At 43.6% G+C, this 25,609-nt stretch overlaps 1 protein-coding gene across 3 annotated transcripts in view, besides 4 other annotated features; it reads left to right on the forward strand.

Annotated features, from left to right (window-relative positions):
* Nucleotides 2,346–25,609, forward strand: part of PRRX1 (paired related homeobox 1) — a 76,654-nt gene continuing 53,390 nt past the window's right edge. For 2 of the 3 annotated variants that reach the window (NM_006902.5, NM_022716.4), the window contains exon 1: nucleotides 3,709–4,037. In NM_006902.5, coding sequence (NP_008833.1) covers nucleotides 3,797–4,037 — 241 coding nt within the window. In that variant the 5' untranslated portion in view covers nucleotides 3,709–3,796. Of the gene's footprint in view, nucleotides 2,503–3,708; nucleotides 4,038–25,609 lie in introns of those variants that run through there. The other variant, XM_006711388.4, reaches the window with a different exon arrangement.
* Nucleotides 2,614–3,141: an enhancer, noted in NCBI's record as "NANOG hESC enhancer chr1:170632177-170632704 (GRCh37/hg19 assembly coordinates)". NCBI's record gives its function as "activates a minimal SCP1, AML or CMV promoter by ChIP-STARR-seq in primed H9 embryonic stem cells {active_cell/tissue: H9 hESC(primed)}" and the evidence as "EXISTENCE:reporter gene assay evidence [ECO:0000049][PMID:30033119]".
* Nucleotides 4,342–5,202: an enhancer, noted in NCBI's record as "H3K4me1 hESC enhancer chr1:170633905-170634765 (GRCh37/hg19 assembly coordinates)". NCBI's record gives its function as "activates a minimal SCP1, AML or CMV promoter by ChIP-STARR-seq in primed H9 embryonic stem cells {active_cell/tissue: H9 hESC(primed)}" and the evidence as "EXISTENCE:reporter gene assay evidence [ECO:0000049][PMID:30033119]".
* Nucleotides 7,527–8,049: an enhancer, noted in NCBI's record as "H3K4me1 hESC enhancer chr1:170637090-170637612 (GRCh37/hg19 assembly coordinates)". NCBI's record gives its function as "activates a minimal SCP1, AML or CMV promoter by ChIP-STARR-seq in primed H9 embryonic stem cells {active_cell/tissue: H9 hESC(primed)}" and the evidence as "EXISTENCE:reporter gene assay evidence [ECO:0000049][PMID:30033119]".
* Nucleotides 8,050–8,572: an enhancer, noted in NCBI's record as "H3K4me1 hESC enhancer chr1:170637613-170638135 (GRCh37/hg19 assembly coordinates)". NCBI's record gives its function as "activates a minimal SCP1, AML or CMV promoter by ChIP-STARR-seq in primed H9 embryonic stem cells {active_cell/tissue: H9 hESC(primed)}" and the evidence as "EXISTENCE:reporter gene assay evidence [ECO:0000049][PMID:30033119]".

The following is a 25,609-nucleotide window of genomic DNA, read 5'->3' on the forward strand; positions in this document are numbered from 1 at the left end:
CTGCTTGCTTCGCGCCCCCCACCCGCCCGGGGACCGCGACTAAGTCCCCGACGCAGCTCTTCCCTTTTCCTGAATACCCTGGGACTCTGCTCCCGAGTTCCAGCTCCGAGGACTCAAAGACAGTCTCCGTTCCTCACTCTTCAAAGACCACCTCCTTTTCTAGAGGTGGGCTCCCCGACCTTGCGCTTCTAGAGCTGCAGGAGCGGCGCTGCACAGGTCTGACAAGCCCAGCTCATTGGCGGGTATCTGAGCCATCAGTCTGAAAGACATTTGGGGAAAATTCATAGAACATAGAAATTCATATTATACATATTCATATTATACATTCATATTATACATTGTGTATATTATATAATATATATATAGTCCATAAATTAGTAAATGTGTGCGGTGTTTTTCTTGAAACCGTTAGCATCCTAGTTGGTATTGGTGGTACTGGTTGATATTAACACGAATGACAAGTGGGTGATTTTCAAGAAGCGCCCGGTCCCTCTAGAGAATGCGTCCGAATATCAGCGGAGCCGACTGCGTATGCCTCCGGATGCCCATCTATAAACTCTCTTGCTTGTAGCTATTCCTCGCTCCCCAACCATATTGACCATTCACCCGGATAAGGCAATTTCCTCGAAAGGGCGATCTGAGGACGCTGACCCCCTAAATGACTGAGGACGCTGGATCTTTAGGGGGAACATCGTGTCTTGGGGGTGCCAAAAGTCCCCAGCCCTTACCCACACCTTTGTCACGACGGGCAATTGGGTATGTGTAGGGGAAAAACAGCAACGTTAAAACGCAACTGTGTAAATGAGGATAGAGAGTGCGAAAGGAGGGAGAGGCGAGGAGCTGCTCTATTTCTAGGGAGGTTTTGGGGAGACTGATCAGCTCCAAGGACAGACCGCTGGGAAGGGAAAAACGGCCCACATCGAACTGGATGCCGGATGGAAACCTCTCTGCGCTATTAGACTGCGTCCAGTACAGCAGATGGCACGAGCACGTGCGGCGCTCAGCTTAGGCTCTCGGAGGCAGCTGAGTTGGAAATCCCGACGGAAAGCACCCACAAGCTCCCACTCTGCGCTGGCCCACCCGCGTGCACGCCCACCCCCCACGCGCGTCCCTGGCTCAGAAGCGCACAGATGTTTACTGCTTAGAGCCGGTACCGCTGGGGAGATCGAGCGACTTGCGCGGCGCACAGTGCGGCGCTGGCAGGGCTCTGGGCTCCCGGTCGGGGGTTCGAGCGGCCAAGGGATGGGGGTGGGGGCGGGGAGAGTGGGGGGAGGGCGAAAGACCGCCGAGAGGAGGGGGGAGTGGGTGGACTAATGATGAAAAAGTCTCCTCCATCCCAGTTCCTTAATTAAATGCATGGAAAGAACCGAGGCGAGCACATCTGGTTTCAATCTACAGCCCTTTGATGGCATCAAATGTTCTTTTCCCAGATCAGGGCTGGAAGTTCTGGGCTAACTATGGCCGTTTGGAGCCCAGAAACCATTTACACACACTCGTACCCTTCTTTCTCTCCAGTCGAGCCTCTTGACTATAGGACGAAAAAAAAAAAAAGTCTAGCAATCAAGGGAGTGCGGGAGTACGGATGCGTGTGTGTGTGTGTGAGTGCGCGTTTAAAGAACATAAAACGCCACAAATAAGCACTTAATATTTTACTGAGTCGTCATACAGTAACTCATTTCTAATGAGACTGTTAAAGCTGTTACCAAATTCCAACAGGTCATGAAAAAACTGCTCAGCACCTCTCTGTCTTCTGTCAGGTTAGGGCTCCGCAGACGGACGACAGAGGATTATCCGTAGACTTAGATGGGGGTTCCTCCGCCCCTCTCTGTCCTCCTGCCACCACAGCCAGGCTGGACGCAGAACCGCACGGAAGCCTCCCCAACTCCTGCCTCTGGGAGTGCTCCTGCCTGCTTCAAGGAATCTGGGCAGCGGGACCCTCTGGGTTTAGCGTCCTCGCCTGGGGAAGCAACTTTGGCCTTACCGTAGAAGTTACAAAATTGGCGGGGGTAGGGAGAAAGATTATAATATATATTTGGAGTCCTTTCTTCCAGTTTAATAAACACGTACTTTTCTCATTGCCCTAGTCCTGGTATGCCTAATGGCGGGGAAAGCCTCAAATAAACTCGGTGCCCTCTGGATCTCCCCAACCTGCCTTTAGTCCTTGCGAGAGGCGTGAGAGAACTTCCTATTATCATCCCTTTTGTTATTTTTATTACATTATTTAATAGGCTCCCTCTACGGAACCAAAAATAGCCTTAATATGCTTACTTTCTCCCTGTACTCCGCCCCAAACTGTTAGAACAGCAGAAAATTTTTTTTTGGGGGGGGGCGGTTTGGGGGAAGGCAGAAGGAGAAGAAAATTTGATTGTGATGGTGGTGGATTTTTTCCAAATTTCCCCACAGCTGTTATCAAAACATGCAAATGAGATTTTCCAACAGGATCTTAAACAAATCTGGAGGAGTTAATGCCGAAGCAAAATAATCAGCACGTTTGAAGTGACTGTGAGTTTCAGTTTGTCTTTTCTCCCCGTGATATTATTGCAGGGGAATGATAATTAGACCTTTAGAAATCCAAAGGGGCTCTCTTGCTCTCTTCCCTCTCTCATTTCTCTTCTCTCTTTCTCTCTCTCTCTCTCTCCCTTCCTCCCTCCCTCCCTCCCTCTCTCCCTCCCTCTCTCTTGTTCCCTCCCTCTCCCTTTCTCTCTAACTCTGATGTTGGCAAAGGGGGTTTTCTTAATCAGACTGTTTTTTGGTCCCAGGGAAAGGAGGAAGAAGGAGATTGTGATGGAGAAAGGGGGTCTGTGAAACGTCAGGCACAGCACAAAGGCTTTGCCACGTAATTACAGGCTCCTATTAAGTCGAGATCTGCCCTCCCAGGGGTCTCCAATTTTCTTGTATTCCCTACAAAGCCTCCTCTGCATGCCAGTTTGTGCCTTTTGAAGTGCCAGAGAGCTTCTTGATCCAACTGAGAAGGAAAAAGGAGCCCAGCAAGAAGAGGGGGAGAGAGAGAAGGGGAAAGGGGGGAACCCACCAGCACCCTCCGTCGGACTCTTGAAGCCTTTTTTTTTTAATTCTTAATTTTTTTTTTTACTCTTTACAAAAAGTAAAGTGAGAATCCTGCTCTCTAATACATCTGCAAGACATCACCCTCTCCTCCTGAAACTTTAGTCACTCCTGAGAATCCACAGGAGTGCAGAGAGGGGGGAACACGTTTTCTTGAAGATGTTTTAAAGCTGGAACAAGCCTTCTTCTGTTGGTGCTTGAACTCTTGCCTGGGAATAACTTTTTTAACCTTTAAAAAAACCATTCACTTTGATTCTTCTCTCCCACCCCTTCTTCTCTCTTCTTCTGTTTGCCTAACTCCCCCGCCCTGCTGGCCTCCGCTTTCCTCTCTCCCCCTTGTTATTATTTTTAGTCTGTGCGTGTGGACACTTTTGGAGAGTTGGAAGGGATTTTTTTCTCCTGACTTGAACATAGGGTGACTTTTTAATATTGTATTTTACTGTGGATTATCTCTTTGGACCGCGCCGGACTTGGCCTCAGGAAATCAACCAATGCTGCGGAAGGCGGCTGGTGCACAACGCTCTGCTCTACAGAAGGGGGTCCCCCACCCTCTTTTCCAATTTTTTTTTTTTGGCCTTCCTCTCCTTCCCTCCCTCTTCCTCCCTCTCTCTCTCTCTCTCTCCACTACCCCCCTCTTTCTTCCCCACTCGGCTCCTCTCCCCCCTCGCGCCCACAGCGTTTGGTGTTGATTCGAGCGGGAAGAGGGGGGTGGGTGGGATCGGTGGGGGAGACCATGACCTCCAGCTACGGGCACGTTCTGGAGCGGCAACCGGCGCTGGGCGGCCGCTTGGACAGCCCGGGCAACCTCGACACCCTGCAGGCGAAAAAGAACTTCTCCGTCAGTCACCTGCTAGACCTGGAGGAAGCCGGGGACATGGTGGCGGCACAGGCGGATGAGAACGTGGGCGAGGCTGGCCGGAGCCTGCTGGAGTCGCCGGGACTCACCAGCGGCAGCGACACCCCGCAGCAGGACAGTGAGTGAGGGGCGCATGCCCACGGGGGTGTGTGCCCGGGACAGAGGGCGGGGACCCGTGTAGGGCAGCTAGAGCCCGTCCGCGGCCAGAAAGACAAGGTCCTGGGACCAGGAGAGGTGATGGCAGACTTCAAAGGAAGGGCCAGTCACAGGGGAAACCAGATGAGAAAAGCGGGTCTCGGCCGAGGGCATAGCCAAGGAGGACGCTGGAGAGAGGCTCCAAGGTCCGGGGACACTCCGAGGCCCTGCGGTCTCAGGCAGGGACTCTGTCCGCGGCGGACTCTCTTTACTTCGGCTAGGCACCGGCTCGGTTCATCCCGCACGCGGGGCGGCGGGGCTGGGCTGGGAAAAGGTCTTAGCGGGGTGCAAACTCAGAGAGCCAGCGCTGTTTGGGAAAGCAGCAGGTTAAAGATGCTGAGTCGGGTTGGAAGGGCTTCTCTCGGGCAGCGTATGACGGCTTGAGGGAGGGCACCAGGCACAGGGAGCAGGACTTGGCGCTGCTCAGGCTGCACTCTCCACGCGGGCACCGTAAGGCCGGGCGCGACCGGGAGGCCCCGAGAGAACGCCCGGCCCCAGACGCTGGAGCTGCTCTCTGCCCCCTGCTGTTGCCTCTACCGCAAATGGGTTTGAGACTGGCAGAGTCAAAAGCCCGGCTGGCTTGGGAAAACTCGGGCCAAGCAAAGGGAATGTCCTTTAAGGGTGAAACCTGAAATCCAGCCCCGCATGATCCCGCACAGGCGAGCTGCATCCGGGAGGCGCGAGCTTCAGTGCGGAGGCCAGTGTCACCTTAGAGGAGCTCTCCCTATTGGCTCTTAAACGCCCAGAAAAGTCCAGTTTCCCTTCCCCATCCTCACCGACCAACCTCGCGACCCATGAAAATCTCGCTTCGCTAGTGCCTTAAAAAGAGACTGCAATTGTATCCCCATGCCCCCAAGTCTGTAACAGACCGGTCACCCTGTTCATCCCAGGTGACATGTGGCCAGATATGTACAGATACTCCCTCTTCTCCTCGAGGTTGCAAGAGTCTGAACTTAGCTGTAAGTTCTCAAATGAGGCTGGTTGCTTTCTATGTCAGTAGTTGCTGGTTACCATTTTTGTCTTCAAATTTGGAAATCGTGGAACCGGGGGGCCCTCCAGCATTCTATGATTTTCACAAAACGTTGCCTATTTCAGACTCTCAAAGAATAGACATACAAATCAAACTGCACATAGAAACAATTGGAAACAGGGTCCGGGCACAGTGGTGGCCCCGCGGGCCACGCTACAGCAAGCCGCAGAGAGAGCCTCTGGTGTGCTCAAGACGCCTGGTCTTCACCCTGCTTCCTTAGTTCCGGCCTGGGCGCCCCTGGGTGTTTTTAGCCAAAAGCGGCCTAGGGCCGATCCACCCAATGCATTAGCAGACTGCTACAGGAACTGAATGAGGAAGTCTGGCCTGGACACCAGAGAAAGGTGGCCAACTCTGAGGAATGAAGAACCAGGTGTCCTCAAGTTCCGCATAAAGGGCTAGGCGCAGAGACAGAGACGTTCTCTTTAGGGTTTGGGTGCTTGAGAGGCTGCACCCGCAGCATTACTTAAGTGTTTGCATAGGCACTCTTAGTTCTAACAAAATGCACTGAGAAATACTATGATTGTTTTTAAACGTTTTACCAGGGAAAATGAAAAACGAAAAATGTAGGGAGAGTCCAGGCGCGGTGGCTCACGCCTGTAATCCTAGCACTTTGGGAGGCCGAGGCGGGCAGATCACGAGGTCAGGAGTTCGAGACCAGCCTAACCAACGTGGTGAAACCCCTCTCTCCTAAAAATACAAAAATTAGCCGGGCGTAGTGCCGAGCGCCTGTAATCCCGGTTACTCAGCAGGCTGAGGCAGGAGAATCGCTTAAACCCGGGAAGCAGAGGTTGCAGTGAGCCCAGATAGTGCCACTGCACTCCAGTCTGGATGACAGAGTGAGACTCCGTCTCAAAAAAAAAAAAAAAAAAAAAAAGTAGGGAGAACAGCATTTGGTGTAGACCCCAGCTTCACCAATTCTGCACGTCCAGTCGTTTCTGTTTTGCCAGGACGACTTATTAATTGCAACATTTACCACTGTTCGGATACTAGAGGCTGGACCCACAACAGAAAACAGGACCACGAAGAAACTTCTGCTTAGAAGACCAGAGTGGGGCAGGAGAGACTAGATGCTGCTTTGCCCTATGAGGAGGCTGGAGGATGAGAAAACCAGGGCCAAGGCCAGCGGCCTCGGCCAGCCTAGGGAACAAGCCAGCCGTGGTGGCCCTCAGATACTGCAGGGGAAGAGGGATGAAAATTGTACCGGTTGTTTGGCTCTGAGTGGACGCCACTCCCAAGAAGGGAGCTCGGGATTCGTCGTGGCCTTAGAGTGGGTATGGAGCCGGGCTGGCCAGAGGAAGCTAGCTATGGAGCGCCCCCGAGCAGATTCGGAGGCGACGCGCGGTGGCTGGGAGGCTGCCCTGGACTGGGGACAGGCTTCTGTGAGACCTGAGCCTGGCGCCTCAGAGGCCCTGTGGAGCACGTGGAGTCCTCAGGAGCGCTCGAGGACAAGCTCAGCATCCCGGGCGGAATTGGGGACTGTATGTCCCGGGAGAAGGGGAGAAGACTCTAGAAACTCGCCCACGTGATACTCGGGCTCATCTCAGAGTTACAATGACTAGAGAGGCCTTGTGGGGAGAAGACCCAGAAAGGAAACTGAGGCTCAGAAAGAGGATGCTCTGCGGAAGCATGATCAAGAGACAGCTTCCGGAGGAGGCCGCAGAAGGCAGAGTGAGGTGATGGGGACGAAGTGACAGGCACCTGGAGCTAGGAAAGTAGCCGAGAAACACACACGCGCGCGCGCGCGCACACACACACACACACACACACACACTCCAGGCCTTGCTTCCTAGAGAGATGAGGGTAGCGTTCTAACGAATAGTTTGTTGCTTTTATAAGCACTTTTCTCAACCTCTCTTTTCTCCGCTGGCATGAGAATGGGAGGGCCTGACGAGTCTTATGGTAGCAAGCGTCCAGGGGAACCCGCAATCCTAGTTTTTGGGCTCCCATCAAGAGTTGCCAAGAAAGCTGTTGTGAGCTACTTGGAAGTCAGGACAGCTGGGCCTCCAGCCTGCAGTGACAATGAGGCTCAGACTGTGAATCAGGGAAGAGGGGAGTGTCTCGGGAAAGGATGGCTAGAGCAGACTCTCCCCCACCCCCAAAGGGACTCAGGGATGAAACCAGGAGTCTGGCGCTCTTTGTATCCCGCTGGAAGTCTACTCGAGTGGGAAACGATTGTCTCCTGCGGAGAGATGGGGAATATTAAAAAGAAGCCTTTGGCTCTTTTAGCTATATAGAAACAGTCCTCGTCCTTTCTAAATTTTCTCTTCAGCTGAAATTAGCAAAACAAACTCCACTTACACCTTCAATATTAGATTCTTAATTTTGCAAAATTCCTAACTATAACCTGGGCCGAATATAGTTAGAAGGAGTAGGTATTCTCTAAAGTGAGGGCTTCTCCCAGACCCTCCCCACCCCACTCACCATCAGCAATTCTGTCCCCACCCCCACCTTGGTTGATATTCACTACACTGTCCTCTCTGTAGAATGCTTTCTTTCACTTTTTACTGAGTCTCCCAGACTAGTAAATTCTCAACTTCTGTGCTCAAATACATTAAGTGTTCAAAGAAATAGTTCTTTAACATTGTTTGGGATCCAGTGGCTAATGGGAGAGTGTGGAGTGTGAATGGGGGTGGTGGCAGAACATGGGTAATCAGGGAGAGGAAAGAGGAACAGGTCATAAAAATAGGCAGACCTACTTCAATGAGGACAGTGCATCCCGCTGTCATTTCTTAATCTGAACTTCTGCAAACTCTTTGAAAAAAAATGCGCCTGCCTTCCACGTTTCCAACCTCTAAATTAGCGAAACCAGATTGTCCTAATAAGACCTTTTGTTGGAAACACATGTAGTCATAAAAAGGTAGACGGAAAGTCAATTAGACACGCGCGCACACACGCACACATTCACAAGCCGGTGCTAAGTGTGCACCCGGCGCAGCTGGCTCCCGGGCCGCGGCGGGATGCAAATACAAAACAGCGACGCGGGAAATCGATTTGTCACAAAGGGAGAGGTGTAAACGCAGCGCAAAGGAATTGCTTGCCCAATCTACCAGCCACACTCTCTCGGGACCTTGCCCCGCCAACTTCTCTTCGCCAGAGAAACGCCCAGGAGAGCGGGAACATTTTCTAGGGCGCTCCCAAGTTGGAATTCTCATCACAGTAATATCAGCTTCTAGAGTCTCAGCTTTTGCAACAACCCTGGCGCCAGAAATTTTCTTATGCAGCACCATCCTGGGACTCTGGGGCCCACTGGCAGTCTAAATTTGAGCTTCAATTATCTCGTTGAAGAGGGGAGCCAATGAAATATAAAGCTTTAAGGGTAGCTTGGAAACTTTTCTCTTTAGAGGAGGTGAAATACAGGATTAAGTGCCTCACTGAGTCCCCAGAGCTGAATGTCAAGGCCAGCCAAGAGGTGGTGATTTCGGTTTATTTTACATGCAGAAGTAGGGGCCCGGGTTACCTCCTTCTCTTAGAATTTTGGGGAAATTGATAGTCCAGTGACTCCTACCCACTTTTGGGTGAAGGACGATTTGGAATTTGAAGTGTGGGGAGACAGGCCTGTGAAGTCCGAAGGACTCACTGGGTCTCCAGATCCCCCAACTCTGGAATGCAGTGAATACCCACCCCCATGTTTCAGAGCATCTCTCCCATGTGTTAGACGTCGTGCAGTCCTGCATTTTGGCTGAGACACCTAACCCCGGTGCACTCAGGTCAGAGCGCCAGGGCTTCAGGCAGACAGCAATGGGTCACACGGGTCCTTATAGTTCCTTCCTCTTCCCAGGAGTGTCATTTTAGATTTTACAACACGAGCGAATAAATCATCTCCAAACCAACAAGATGTCACCTTCAGGCTCCCCACTGCAAAAAAAAAAAAAAAAAAAAAAAAAAAAATTCAGAAGCAGTGATGCGTTTCTATTCCACCGACCCAGCTTTGAATGTCTCTCCCAGCCAGGCCCCTTTTCCAAGAAATAACAACTGTAGATTTTCAACCACGACAATCCCTAGACCAGTCTGATTTTTTATTTTAAAAGGCATGTTTCTTTTACAATCCCTCTCCTACACACTGTTTCCCGCTCCATCCATCAGCCTACCACACCACCATCGCAGACCCCTAACTCCTGGAAAACCCTCCTTGGCGGAAGCACTAGGGCCCTCAGGTACCGGATTGTTGCAAAGGTCTGTACGTGCCTGTGCCTGCATTGCGACCCCCGGCGCGCCTCCAGTTCCAAGGCCGAGCTCACTTTCAACAGCTCTGGAAATATGAATGTATTTTTCCCCCCTTTAGAAGAAGCTATACGAGGAACAACTTTTTGAAATCGGGAGTGTGTTTGTAGAGAAGGAGATAAGGATTGCATTTCGCTTATTTTTCTACAGGTGATAGAAGTGTTTTGGGGGTCAGAGTATCCTCTCAAGGAAAATGTAAAACGTGGGGGCTCGCATTCTCTATCTAAGCCTTTGTAAGTTTAATTAACAGGACCCTTAAAGTATTCCTTATAGCTACAGATAAAAAATTACAGGCAATGTTTGGATAAGGGGCCAACTCTCCGTGTCCAAACATTTAGAGAACTGCCTGTGAGTGTACACCGTTGTAATCTTATTGGGAGCCCTTTGTCGAATTCTGTATTTTACTTTGATGCTTTTTGAGTACCATTCCCATTGTTTGGGTGTCCTTTAACTCCGTTTACAGCAATATATTAATAAAGAGGATGCATATGTCAGCGTTATGTATCCACAAGAATTTGGATTCCTTTAAAATCAAACGGCTTGGTGAGCAGGCAAGCACTCAAAACCCAACAGTCTCAAACAGCAATAATAATGTCAGCAAACGGCTGCCATGCCTCCTTTTCTCCAAATGCTGTTTATTCTAAAATCAATAAGTTAGGAGATACATTGCAGAGAAACAGTCATTAGTGGTTCAGGGTTGGCAGGTTTGTTTTTCAGGTGTAGATGTTCTTGAGTAATACCTCTCCACTGTGGACTAAATATTAGTAGATTGTCGTTGTCATTTTTCTAATTTAATGCGGCAGCCTCAGGGAAGTACTCATCCAGACAATTATGGGGTATCGATTTTTAACTTTAAGATTAAAAAAATACCATATTTCACTTGCCTTGGGACTACTTTTCTTGATAAAAATATATCTGGGAAGATGATTTTAGGGCCATGTTAGCGTAGGGGAGGGGAATTAAGGCACAAATGGTGGTTGGTTAAGGAAATTTTATGAAAGAAAATAAAGAAAACATGTCAGAATAAATCAATCAGAGGCACAAGTGAGTTAGAGGAATCTGAGGACAACCAGCATCTTGGGGATTCTTCTGTTCCCGCGGTTCTCAGATATAGGAATAAGGGTCTGAGTTATGCCCAGAATACATTCGTCTGGTACTGGATGTCCCAGTCCCTTAGCTGTTCCACGTAATGAAGAAGCTCTAATTCCCGAGAACTTTGGGGCTTATTTTTACCATCATTGAGTCTGCCCAGGCTCAGCTCTCTTACAAAGGTATAAATCTGAAATTCATGTATTAATTTGAATCCCCAAGATCCGAGTTATGAGAAAGGGCAAGGGCAGGCTCTACTCCTATTTTGTTTACTTTCACCGAGTTACTGTGAAGTGATTGGAAACTTTCTTAACGGGCAGAGAGAGAATACACGGAAACTCGGATGCAGTAATAAAGTTGACATAGGAGTCGGAACAGGGGGCTCTTTTTGGATCTCACCTTTACTGGGGCTTGAGGTTGTGGAATGGGTGGAAGAGTAATTAACTGAATGAAGAATTTTAACGTTGAAAACAGAGCCCACAGTATTTTTGGTTATAGTGGTGTGGTCTCTGCCTCGGCAAAGAAACAAACACCCCCACCCCATCTTCGCAGTTCTCCTCTCTGCTGTAGCGACGCCAGGCGCTGCTTTCCGCCGGGTAAATTAGCGGCGAGCCTCGCCAGACGCTTTCCTCCTTGCCTTCTTTCGCCGAAAGGGGGCGCGCTCCTCCCAGGCTGCGCTGGTACCTATCCTGCCTTCAAAAATTTCTGGGTTCCTGCAGGACAGACAGTAACAAAACGTGGGAAATAATAGTTTGATGACACTTCAGGGACTATAGGAATATAAGGTGCACACACATGCATCTTAATGGAAACATGTAGACACCTGGCAGGAGCATTGGCTGCCTGCCTCTCCTCCTTTCAAATGAGGGTGGTCGGGGTTCCAGGGTGGCAGGAGGGGAGTGGGGCCAGATGACCGTGGATGGAATTGGTGGGTGCTAGGACTGACGCCTGGGTTCCATGGCGGAGGAGAGGGTTTGTCCCCATGGAGCTGTGTGGACTTTTCTGCATATGTACTTGAGGTCTTCAAAGAAAGAAGGGCAGATCTGAGAAATGGAGAAGTGGCTGGTATTAGTGAGATGTTGAAAAACTGCCACAGAAGCCCTCACAGTGCCTGGAGTGTTAAGACAGAAGAGAAAACCTGGCACCATAGAGTTTTAGGCCCTGGGATCAGGGTAACCTTTCCTCCTCACGAAAGAACAATAACTGCCCCAAATCTTGTGTGAGCCTGCAACTTGGGTACCTAAAGCCATTTCCAATCTGCAAATCTGACTCCTGGCCTCCACTGATCCTCCATTTTTGGGCAAGAGTTTCAAGAGACTCACAGGACAGATGAGGATAAATTTTTAACCCCTTCTGTAAATTTAGGGATTTTCGACTTCTTACCACTCCCTGACAATGGGGGTCAACAAATCAAGGCACGGTGAGAGTAACAAACTGGAATAATATATATTTTGTCTTCATAGCATAGATGATGGTTAATACATACTTTCCAAGATAATCTGAGCTGGAGTGTTCACTAGAAACAGGAGCACAAGGCCAGAACTGTAAGGCAAATTGCTTTCCCACAAACGTTTGTCTGAGAATAAGAACATTCACCCCATTCACTTAATTTCTCATCATCAGTCATGTCATTATATTTTCAAGGACCTCACAGTGCTGGAAAGTGGTGTAGTTATAAATAAGCATAAAAACAGATGGGTGATCCCAGTCCTCTAAATATAATCGGGGATGCCAAATCTTTTCAAAGAGAATTCATATATACAACTTAAAGGCCAAGGAGCCCAATTCAATCAAAATTTGAGCCAGGATATGCTAAGTTCAATCAGCTTGAATATGGGCAAAGTGTAAGACCTAGCCAGCACTTCAGATATATACAGAGAACCACATTTTCTCAAGTTTCCATTGTTATTTTCCACACAAATTTAGTGTTAGTCTTCAAAGGGATTGTTAGATTTGGTTTGGGCCGGGAGGGTGGTGAGAGTCAGTGCCCCAGGCTCCTGTCCTTGTCTACTCCCCTTTCTTTGGTACTCTCTCTGCTTCAGCAGTTTGCCGAAAATCTGTGTTGCAGAGAAAATTGACACCTAGAGGCCACAGAGGTCTCCTAAATGCTGTTTTCTAGGATCCTCAGAAAACAAGAGGACCGCTGAGCTCAATTATATGTAATATACCTGGTATCTTTATGTATTTTTCTTTTCTGCTAATTCATTTTATAATAGCTAAGTTAGAGACTTCTTGGAGATTTAGGTTTTGGGGACTGGATATCATTCTGTTTTATTTTCAGCTAACTCATAAATATATGAATTTGAAAGTTCCCATTGAAGTAGGTATTCAATGTAAACTTTTATACCTGGGCATTTTCACATATCACCATTAATTCAAACTGGGAGGTAACATTAAATAATTATGTACATTGTGACTTTCCATTTTCTACCAGTGCTGCTTCCCTAAATACTGGTCTAGACTCCAGCAGTAGTATACTACTGGGACAGTTGCTAAATTGTTGCCTGTGTTCAGTTAATGCTTACCAAGTGAGAGAATGAGCTCTCCATCCTTGGTGGAACACCTTTCTAATCTAGCCTAAGTACTAGCCACTTTACCCTCCCCTTCCCATTTCATACCTTTTGCCTAGGAGTTATCTTCTAGGCCCACCATTTTAATAACCATCTATATACTAACCACTCCCAGTTTACAGCTTCAAGACTCTCCATTGGAGCTGCAATCCATATCTGCAGCCACTTATTTGACATTTCCATTTGAATATCACAAACGTGCTTCGACCTCAAAATCAACAAAACATGGAACTAACGAACTTTCTTTCCCCAGTCTGATCCTCCTACAGCTTTCCCTGTTTTCCTATATGGTAACATGTGGATGCAAGACTTATGCACTTCAGACTCATCCTTGACTCTCCTTCCTTTATGTTTCTGTTCCATCCATCCCCAAATCCTATCAAGTTTACCTTCTAAAATAATTTGAATTCATCTACTGTTTAAGTCTCTATCCTGGCTCACCTGCACTGCTGTACCACCCTCCTAGCCTGTGGAAACTCTCTGTATCCATGCTTGTCCTTAATGTGTTGGTTACAAAGACTGGATATAATAGATCCCTAAAGAATATTTGTTGAATTTCCAAATGACAAATGCTAGTGTATTTTTCTACAAGTACATGTAAAAAATCATGTCATGTTCTTTCTTTAGAACTCACAATCACTTTTCATTCTTTACATCAAAATTGAATTATCTTGATTTTAAAAATCACTCTTGATAGTCTACCTTCCCATCCCTGCTCTAGCAGCCTGCCTGATACCTCTCTCTCTCTCTCTCTCTGTCACACACACACACGTGTGCGCGCTTGCGCACGCACGCACACACACACACACAGATTGTAACTGTTTTCCTATTGTTCCCTAGTATGCTAGCTAGGCTAGTATACTAACTCCCTGTGTTCTAGTCTCCTTTCATGTGCTCTGGTCTCATTTTGGCTTCTCTGACTTCTGATGTGAAGTGTCCTTGCTCTGTGCCTCGTTTTTGCAAATCTTCCCATGCTTTCTTCCAAGATTCTGCTCCCATCACACCTCCTTGCGAAACCTTCTCTGACTACTTTATTCCAGACCACACAAATCTCTTTTCTCAAGACTTACTATGGGAAATAACAATCAGTGGCTCCACAAGTAGTGCTCAATTGTTTTCTAAATATTTTATGATTATCTAGATTTTTTTAAGATTTAGAGACTTTTGGGGAAAAGGTGTATTCTGCAGTGTACAACACCGCTGCAGTAAGCAAATTTTTTTTTTTTTGTACGGAGTACTTCTACTGTTTTTGTAATCCTTTTTTTTCTCCCCTCCTCCCCATCTCTGTTTTTGTAATCTTTAGCTGCAAGTAATTTTGTAAATTATAGGAGTAATACCAAAGTGTAATACATGTTCATTTTTGAAAATGTATTATTGTACATTTCAAAATTGAAACGGGACTATCAAGACACCAATTTTTCACCAGTCTGAGCTAGATACAATTAATATTTTGGTGTTAAAATATTTTCTCTTACACTTTTTACACAATTGGCATCATATTGCATTAACATTCTTCATTATTGATTTTTCTTTACTCAGTGGAAAAAGTTTTAACCCCATTTTCAAAGACTGTGTTTCTCTAAAATTAAAAAACTGTGTAAGCATTTAACCCACTTGCTCTGATCAGAAAAATTAAACAAACATGCACCACACTAACAACAGTTCTCCAAGGATTGTGAAAGCTGTGGCATCAGTTAATTCCCAGCTTTCTGAAGTTCCAGTGGGTACATTTTCAGCAGTAAAGTCCTTCAGAGTAAACAGCTTCTTTTCCTTTTCTGCTTGTTCTAGCTGGGAAACTTCCCTAGATATGAGCACATGTCTTCTTTTGAAATGGGAAAAGCCTGCGTAATACCTAAAGGATGTTCTTAGACCACAGTTAGAGAACTACTGCTCCAAAAATCAATTTTTACATGATTTGGTGAGGAAGAGCTCACAAAATTAGTCGGGGAAAAATTTTGTAGCAAACTAGAAATTTTCTACTACTCTTGGTCCCTGAATCTTGAATTTTTAAAATTAAATATCTTAAGGCTCATGCATGCTTTTTGAAAGAAAGAAGGAGGAAAATGATTTACTATATAAAGGTATTTCTTTATACCTTTTAGAGGTATACGTAAGATAGTGACATCTTCCAGGACATGATAGTGTGGTTTGACAGAGGAAGAAGCAATTATTAAAAATTAAAGATAGTGCATTTACCCAGACATGAGCATCTACAGCATTTCAGCTTTTTTAATGTGATAATTTCAGGGAAACAACATATTTTATTATTATGAAGTCTATGTAAAAATTTTTCCCAAGCAAGTGGAGATTAAAACATTTGCCTGATGAATACAAATATTTTATTTAGGGAAAGTATTAACAAGTGATATAAAATCCCGTAGAACAGAAATTTTAAATTATGAATGACATATATGTTAATAATTAATCTTTCTCCTCATGAGAAAGGGAGAAGAGAGAGAGTAAACACCATTTTTGAAAACTAAAAACCACACTTGCCTAATAAAAGTTTCTGAAGTTCCCCCACATTGCCTATTTCTAAGAGAGGAAAGAAAGAGAACCACCCAGAGAGCTCTTGGCCTATAACCAGATGTGCTGTTCAACAGCTCTAATCCTCAAGATCAGGGGAAGACCACAGGCTGAATCCTCAACACATTTAAGAAATAAAATATAATTTAGTTAATTAATCATGGAACCAAAATCTGCAGTTTTGCTAGCCATATTTCAAAGACTGAATCCCTTCTGACAAGGGAAATAGAAAATAATATCACTCCACATTTGACTGTTACAGTCTGTTCTTAGCTTTCCTCAGGGAAGAAATTTTTCCTGGTATGATCGTTCTTACTCAGAATATACGGACTGCTATTTAAATTTATATCTCCCCTCTCTTTTTTTTTTCTTTACTTCACATTCTTTTTTTTTCTGGGTGGTGAGAATATCTGTTTTCTGAACTGTTTTGGGCTTTTTGATTTGGAGAATCAGAGCTACCTTGAAGGCCAGGAAATCCAATCTATGCAGTCCTTGAAATATAATCATTTCAGCTGAATTAATATACTCAGACTGCTGGTTTATTTAGATGACTTACTTTGTCATAAAGAATTAATAAAATTCTTAATATGAAAGATAAGTTGGGATAAAACATAAAACTGCTTCACAAACTTTAAGAAAATGTGCAGATGCTGCTATGTTCTATAAAGCCAATTTTAAGAAGATAGGGCTAATTATTTTCATTTTACAGATAGGAAAACTGTGGCTTGGAGCTGCTCTGACCCCATTTTATTTATTTTTCATTATATTGTATGATCTTTGATGTCAACCAAATTCCTCTAGATGCATTATTATCTGGTGAAATCATACTGAGTTAGGAATGAAGAGTCTGGCATGCCATTTCATAACATATTGCCATGCTGCACAGACCTTTTTAAATTCCTCTGGTTCATGTTCTTCATTATAAAATTGGCATGTGACTGCTGCACCTATCTTCTTCATGCTAACACAGCAGGTTGGAAAGAGATTGTGTTTGTGAAAATATTTGAGAAATAAAGGGCTAAATGCATGTGAGTTGTCATACTATAAGGGAGTGAATGGCGAATTTTCTAAATTAAGTTGTCAAGTAACAATAAAAAAAACAAGAATGCATTTTGTTGGATTTACAGCAAGGTCTCAAAATGTGAAATATTTTAAATTTAGATTTAGACACGTTAGGAGTCTTCATGTGTTTTATGTTGGATTCAGAAAATTCTGTGTTAAATTATGGTTCCACCATTCATTAATACTTGCCAACTGATTTTAGACAAATCTCTGTGTCTCAATTTCCTCATCTATAAAACTGGCACATTAATATTTATCACGCAGATTTGTTATTTGGAATAATAAAATGATGTAAGCAAAATGCCTAGTACCCTACTCAAATAAATGCTTTATTATAAATTGTTATAAATGCCCTTTAGGGCAAGCATTTATTTGAGTGCCTTCAGTGGGAATGGTAGTAGGGTACTGGGCATTTTGCTTACATTATTTCCACCCCACAGCATCTCTGACTAGTATGACTTATTTCAGGCATGGATATATGTCCACTGTGGCTTCCCAAACAATGTTGGAGGCCATTTAGTGCCATTGAAATTAGGAATATTTGCATATTCCAAAAGCCATACTCTTACAGCATGTCACTTATTGAGTCTATTTGTTTTCTATCTACAATTAGAAACTGATGCCTCATAACTTTCAGTGATACTTATACCGCCACACCATGAGTATCTGGAAGAGCCAGGAGTTTGGCTCAGAAGTTGCTGACTATGGTTATCACCTTTAGGTCACCCTTCCTCTCTCAGCGTGAAACAATAACACAGATCATTTTATATTTTTGGATGGCACCAATATTAAAGATTTTACAGGGATTTAAGATGTTACAGTGATTGAAGAAGACAAATCCCCTTTCCTCTAGTTTCTGAATTTTATAGAGACTCTATGACATATGCTTGGGACACAAGGTGTTAAGGTTTCTTATTCCAGACCTGACATAGCTAGTAAATTTCTGGAGGCCAACCACGTTAATTTCTCTCTGTCCTATAGTGCCTCTAACATAGCACTGCCTTACTGCTCCACTGAGATTTCTGTGGGTTTACTTAACTTTTTGTACATGAATAATGCTCACCATGTTAACTATAATTATACATAAAGTTGCCATTCTTTTGCCAACTTAGATTTCCTAAACCAGTTGAGTAAGATACACATTCTGTCCTCCATTTGATATGTGACCTGTTTTCATACATATTTTCCTTTGAAATCTGATAAGCCTGGAAGACATACAGATGGCACTTCTATATCATGAAACATCCAGGACTCTATTTTTTTGCCAAGCAATCAACAATTAAATCTCTCTGGCATATGTGAGCAATAGATCAGCATGGCTAGCAGTTGTCGTACATGTGGAGAAAACTGGTCACCATGGGTGAGGCACTTTGACAAGTTTATTGCAAGGCTAGTGTGCTTGTGGTCTAGGAAAGTAGCTTAACATGTGCCTTATGCAAGAGAGAAGGGGCAGGTCAGCCCCAACATGCTAAGTGAGTGTTAGGCGAAGATTAGGAGCACAGCTCTCTTGGCAATAGCATTCTGATATACGGAAAAGTGTTTGTGTGTGTGTTTGCTAAAAATGCTGTCAATATTTTATCATATTGTGTAGGATCTCTAACTGGGGATGTAGATAACTCTGGGTCTCTGTTCTTTGGAGCACATGAAGCCCTTCCTCATCTAGGAAGATTTTCTTTTGGCCGTTGTTTTTCTTCTTCTGTCTATGTCTCTCCCATATGTGCAGTTCATGTCTAATAATTTAGAGAATAGGGATAAGAGAAATAACAGATTATGAGATTCTTTCTCTAGTGTCCTTATACTCTAATCCTGCATATCTTCAATGTGATGCCTGGTTCACTTGCATCAGAATGAACTGAGGTTTCTCAAAATGCAGATTCCAGGGCCCCACTCATACCCAGTGACTCAGAATCTCCAAAGTATATGCATATTAAATATCCCAGATGATTTTTATATCCCACAAAGTCTGAAAACACTGATCCAGACCACTTTCTCCCATAGCAATTGGTATTGAATAATATTTTCCTCGTGACATCCACTGTATCCTGTGTGTTCCATTGTTATTTAACTCTCCTTAAGTGTCAGTCTCATCTCTTCAAAGGAGTACATACAGCTTTAAAGACAAGGGCAGAGGCAAACAGTTTAAGCCTCAGAGCACTTATCATGGTGCTTTTTATATTATAGGAGGCTTAACAAACGGTTGCTGAATAAACGAATATGTGAACAAACAAGTGAGAAAGAGCACACATATAGCACTTATTAGGCATCTGGCATTTTGTTAAGCACTCCACATAAAACCAAGAAAAACAATGTGAGGCAACCATCAGGGGATGTCAAAATTCTAAGTAAGACTAACTGTTTTATTTTATTTTATTTTATTTTATTTGAGACGGAGTCTGGCTCTGTTGCCCAGGCTGGAGTGCAGTGGCACAATTTCGGCTCACTGCAAGCTCCACCTCCCAGGTTCATGCCATTCTCCTGCCTTAGCCTCCCTAGTAGCTGGGACTACAGGTGCCTGCCACCACACCTGGCTAATTTTTTGTATTTTCAGTAGAGACGGGGCTTCACCGTGTTAGCCAGGATGGTCTCGATCTCCTGACCTTGTGATCCGCCCACCTCGGCCTCCCAAAGTGCTGGGATTACAGGCATTTTATTTTTTGTCATATATTGATAAATTGTGGTTGTACATATTAAAACTAGTTTTAGGTGGTTGTTAGCACTTATTCTAGAAGAAAAAACATGTGTCAAAGAAGTGGCAACTTACCCCATGGATGATGTTTGCAATTTAATTTTAGTTTTAAGTATGTTTTTAAATGAAAGTTTATCTTTATCTTCTTTTCTTACAAAGTCCTTCCTTACTTTCAGACAGTTGATAAAGCACAATATTTCTATTTTGAAATTTTGTTTACTTATCTTTTTTATGGTCTGATAAAGCCAAGTTTTAATTTTCCCTTTTTTCTGATGCTGATTTTTGAAAAGGTTGTGTACGAAATTTCAACATAACCTATCCAAATGTATCATTTAAAGACAACTGCATTTATTCCACTAGTAGTTTTGACATATGCTAAAGTTATATCTCAAATATCCCCTTTTAAGGTACGTTTCAGGGCTCTTGTCCTAAATGGATTTTCTATTAAATATCAGGCTTTTTTTTTCTAATGAAGTATATATAATTATGAATCGTTGTCCAAAGGATGTATTTGTTCATCTGCCCTGAATGATAGACCAATGAATGAATTAAAAGGAACTACATTTAGAAAAGCAGGATAAGTATGATTTTAGAAAACTTGAAGGAAGAAAACAAGAAAGAAGGGCACTTGTAGAGATGTGAAGGGGCAGAAAACAGAGGTGAAAGGGTTTCCTGGACCCACGTCTGTAGTAGAGACCACTACTGAGTTACAGTTCTCTAAGCCCATCTGGGATCCTTTGGTGACATGAATTTTGCTCTAGTGGTTTATGACATCACTGGAACCCCGTTGGTGGAATTACAACTTCATAATTCACAGTTAGCTCTTGTTTATTTTATATTTAATCATTTGTGGAGCATACTGGCAGCATACTCAGGGGAACTATGTGGTTATGCTCCTGCAAATCTTGTTGTTGCATAATTAAGTACGTCAGAAGTAATTCACCAAGTGTCATAACATCCCATAGTTCACGCCTTGCAGATGCTGGCATTGGTTATGATTGTCCTGAAAGTTATCCTGGCTGCATCACCTTCTCAATGAGTTTTCCTTTTGGAGGAACAGTTACCAAAGACAGCTGGGCTTCCTGGTTTAAATAAAATACAATTTTCTGAGTAGCAAGCATATTGCTTCCATAGAAAGACAACTCCAGAACCATGTAGGAGTGACTTCTATAATGTGACTGTAAAATGTGGTTCTATTCCTGTTAACCCATGGGTATGTAAAATGTATCAATGAAACAACAAAGGCAGTTTTTAGGTGAGCGAGGAGACTTCGGATTTGTCTCCATATTTATTTGTGTTTAACCTTGAGACTCAGAAATGATTCCACTTAACTTGTGCCTTTGGGTCTCTTAATGGAAGAAGGGAACTAAAGGGAAGAAATTAAGGTGTATTGAGTACCATAATGGATCAGGTACTGTGCTGGGTAATGTATACTAATTATGTTGTTTAAATTTTCACAATAGTGCTGAGTGATAGATATTGCCACCCCCACCTTACCAATAGGGCTTTGAGACTCAGAGGAGTTGGAGCAATGTGCCTGAAGCCTCAAAGTTAGTTATTGACAAACCAGAACTTGTCTTGACCCCTCTGTTCTACTGTATTCCAGTATTTTCTAACTCCAGTGGCTAGAAAATTGGAAGGAAGTGGTTGAGTTCAATGGTTTTTCAGTGGCATTTATTCAGTGGAACATAGAACTCTTGTAACTGTGGTACCTGACTGTGCTAGAATTACAAATTAAAACTGCAGATAATCCTGCAGAAAATGTTATCTTTGCAAAAAAAAAAACCCTCTTAATAGCACTAGACATTTAGATGTCAGATAAGCAGCAAATCTGAAGTCAATTACAGGGCTCAGTGAACATAAATGAAGAAGTGAGTTGGAAGATAGTACTAGAGAAGAAACAGGTGAGCCAGAGAGCTTTCCTGAAGGTGAGGAGTTGATTTTGACCATGGTCCTTCCAAAAGTATGGCCTTGAACATGCCACCCAGCCCTTATGAGCTCTAATCACAGGAAAAATAGAAATATCTTCTTGACAAGTCTATTGAAGATTAAATCAGATATTTATGTAACAACCTTAACTCACAGGTGGAACCAAGCTCCTAATTTGCATCACCTAATATTGAATTGTAAAACACTGACAAAAAGGGGACAGGTTCAACATTTCTGATTATGTTCTCTGTTGCTATGGAAATGAATATTTATAGCCAAGAATATAATCTTATTTAAAAGATTCAGACAGTTGTTTCTAATTTGGCTGTTTGGAACTGGAAATTCATTTGTCCAAATGCAATGTTTTAATTTGTGATTAGGTTCCTAGGAAACCTCCAAAAGATTGGTGGATGGGTGATACAGTTGAACTGTAGTGTAAATGGAAGCAGCTAGTATGTTGCATCCTGGAAGAAATAGATTTGTGGCTCAGAATGAGGAAGAAAGGGATGGCCCTTCTCTCTTTACTGGTATAGGACCAAAATTTAGGCAAAATTTAGAACTAGATGAATTTAATCTCTAGGCAGCCTTCTCCAAACCCCTTCTCCCCTGACCTCTAAGGTCTGAATTCAATGTTCCTTCTGTGTGCTCCCATGTTCTCAGTCACCCTTGATAGTATTATCACACTGCATGGCTTAAGAATGCCAGTAAGGTTTTGGTGCCTCAGTCACATCCTGCTCACTCCTCTAGAGTTCCCCGTAAGGAAGATAAACACATAGAACAGTAGCTGAAGAGGAAATAAGGTACTGAATTATCATCATCTAGGCAAACACTCCATAAACTCTGGGCACCCCATGCCCCCATCTCCTGGGATTTGTTAGTATAACAAAGTTGGAGGCCTAGGTTTAAATGTTATGTTTGTAGAACAGACTTCCATGCCCATCTCTTTTTCTTTCTCTCACTCATTTTTTTTTCATACATATTTGGCAAATGTGTCTTGAGTACCTACTATGTGCCAGTCATTATGCTAGGTTCTGGGATGCAGCAGTGAATAAAATAAACACGTTGCTTTTTCTCCTGAACCTTATATTCTCCTGGGGAAAAAAGGCAATAAACAAATAAATGAACACACACCTAGATAAGTAATTCAATTGTGATTAGTAAGTTTTATGAAAGAAATGAAACAGCCTATTTGAGCAGGAATATGAAAGAAAAGAAGGAGAGCTAACTATGTAGAGAGCAGGGTGAAAAGCCTTCCAGGCAGAGGAAGTGAACAGCAAGTGCAAAGGCCCTGAGGCAGGAACAAGCTTTATAGCCAAGGAACAGAAAGAAGGTCAATGTGACTGGAAGATAGTAAGTGATGGGACTTTGAGAGATGACAAAGTCAGAGAGATATGTAGGGGCTAGGTGACAGGGACTTGTAGGTCACACTGAGGAACTGGGCTTATATTCAAAGTGTGATGACAATGGGAAGCCAGGGAGACATTGAAACCGGAGAGTTTTGTAATGTGATTTATGTCTTTAAAAGAACAACCCAACTGCTTTATGGAGAATGGATATTAGAGGAAGAAGGAGAAGCAGTTAGGAGGTTATTGCAACAGGCCAGATGAGAGATGATGGTGTCTTGAACTGGCTGTATGGGTGAGGATAGAGCAGCAGTGGTCGGCACCCAGAGTGTGACTCCTACAGGGGCTCAGGAGGCTGACGGAGCCAGCGGAGTTTAGCAAATGAAAGAGGAAAAGAGAGGACAATGTCAATGAGGCTGTGCAGCCTGCCCTGGAGGACTGACCTAGGACATTCATCTTTCTTAGTCTCATCTTTTCTCAGTCTCATCTTTTCTCTGTTTCTGTACCTGGGTTTTCTCTCAAACTTCCAAGCCTTACCATGGTGGGCTCCCTAGAAGCAGCTGCTTCCAGGAGAAGGAGTGGTTGGTTGTGTGCAGTGGGGTATGAAATAGGAGCAATTTATTTTGATTTTGTTATTTGAAATGTTAGAGTCTATAATTCAGGTACTGCCTTTAATTTTCCCAGAAAGGAAGGGTTCTGCTTTAAATTCTGCAAAAGCAGCTCTTTGTAATTTAGCAAAACATCAGAAGGCAGCATTGCTAAAGACTGCAATTCAGATATGTGAAGACTTGTGTAACTGAAATGTCTTCAGAAGTTTTTAGTGTTTCCTAGGTCTTAGTCTCTTCTTTTTAGTGTGTATGCATTAATGGAGCCAAAAGTCAGAAATCAGTTAGGTCTTTTCTCCAAGCAAACAATGAAACAGTAACCAAAATTCAGGGGAGCTAAAATCAGAAAATTATACCCACCACCAGTTTTTTGATTAACAAGTATGCATTGTATTCAGCATCATGCCAAGCACTTTGGAGGATATTAAAGAAGTGAATGGCATGACCTCTTGCCAATCATCCAGCTGGCGAGATGGATCTAAAATTGTGCCTCACATAGTTCATATTCAGCATGATTTTAACATATCTGCTCCTGGGGTCATAGATCCTGTTCCTCCTCTTTTCCCTATCACTCAATGGTCCCTCGTGCTCTCAGGTGGCACCTGCTCAAAATGTTAATAGCAACCTCAACTTCTTCCAGTCTTTTATTCTCTATGCCTATTTCTCAGGCTTGTCCTCTCTTTTCCAAGACAGACATTTTATCTCAGAAACTTAATCAGATCTTTTCTTGTAGTTTCTTACAGATGGAACTTTGTATGACCCCGAAGTGATTCCAGGCTATGAGAATTTTAAACCCATAAGAAACAGCTAGTTGGAATACTATCAGAATAAACTATTTGTATAGATACATCTTGCTTTTAAAGATTTGGAATCGGCTGGGCGGGATGGCTCATGCCTGTAATCCCAGCATTTTGGGAGGCCAAGGCAAGTAGATCACTAGAGGTTAGGAGTTCAAGACTAGCCTGGCCAACATGGTGAAACCTCATCTGTACTAAAAATACAAAAATTAGCTGGGTGTGGTGGTACACGCCTGTAATCCCAGCTACTCAGGAGGCTGAGGCAGGAGAATCACTTGAATCCAGGAGGCGGAGGTTGCAGTGAGCCAAGATCATGCCACTGCATTCCAGCCTGGACAACAGAGTGAGACTCCATCTCACACACACAAAAAAAGATTTGGAACTCAGATACTTTAAGCATTCTGCAGTTTGTAGCACCATGAAGAAAGTTAAGAAATGCTTCACTATCTCATTTTTCTCAGCATCTTGAGCTTTCCAACATTTTTCATGATTTTAAAAATAATTTGGCAAAGGATAAGTTATAATCAGTATAAACCTAGAGTTATGCCATTGATTAGGTAGACCATGCAGAGAAGTTTAGTACTTGAAAAGAAAAACTAGACTTCATGTAAACTGAAGCTTGGAACAAGAAAGGCAGTCATCTGACTTCCAAATTACAATTTAGAACCTACCAGTTTTTTAATTTCTTGGCACAGGAAATTTAATCAATATTTTTCCTGATGCTGAAATATTGGTTTTGGACCAAGGCTTATTTGAGGTTTATCTCTTCTTTGAGCTTTCACTAATGTCTTTATTAATGATCTGAAATAAGGAACGGAGAAGAAAATTGGGTCAGAGTAAGCCAGTTGACACCATTTGTGACTGGACCCATTATCCTTGCTCACCTCCTGACGCAGGAGGACACCAAGGACTGTGTGAGGTGGGTGAGGCCACAGCCTGGGAAGTCTTGTCAAAGGGTGATTCAAGTGTGGGCTAGCAGCTGACTCAGGAACAACCCGGCAGTGCTCTGAAGGCTGACTCGAGCTAGGGGATTTGTTAGGCCATCTGCAAGACACATTTAGAGGGAAAATGATTTGAGAATGAAAGTGCTGTCATCCAAACTTGAAAGTTTAAAAAGTATTCATTTTGATAGATGGAGACTAAAAGATTTTGGAATTTGGAGTCAGAAAATCTAGATTTCAATCCTGCCTCTATTTCTGCCACTCTTGGCTTGTATTACCTACCTGTAAAATGAAAACGGTAATGCCTGCTTGATTTCTTTCTTTCTTTCTTTCTTTTTTTTTAATCATGGAGATCTGAAGAGGGCACAATGTGGAGGAAAAGTTATACATGGTTTGAAGTCTAATGAATACCTCTATGAAGCTCTAATATAATAAGAGGGTAACAAGCTGCTAGGGATTCAGAGGGTGGATTTTTCATATCTAGCAAGGGTATATAAGGACAGGCCTTGAGTGCACAAGGCAGCATGTGAATGCAACTTGAGTGTAATTGATTTTTTTTTTACAAGTCAGACTATTGAGAGTTAAGAACAATATAAACACTAAACAAGCAAATTCAATTGGACATATACCTGTTCATTCCCACAAGAGACTGAACTGAAGGGTGAGGCTTGTGAATTTCATTGGCTGTAGTCAATA

Source organism: Homo sapiens, chromosome 1 (assembly GCF_000001405.40).
Source record: "Homo sapiens chromosome 1, GRCh38.p14 Primary Assembly".
Taxonomy (NCBI): Eukaryota; Metazoa; Chordata; class Mammalia; order Primates; family Hominidae; genus Homo; species Homo sapiens.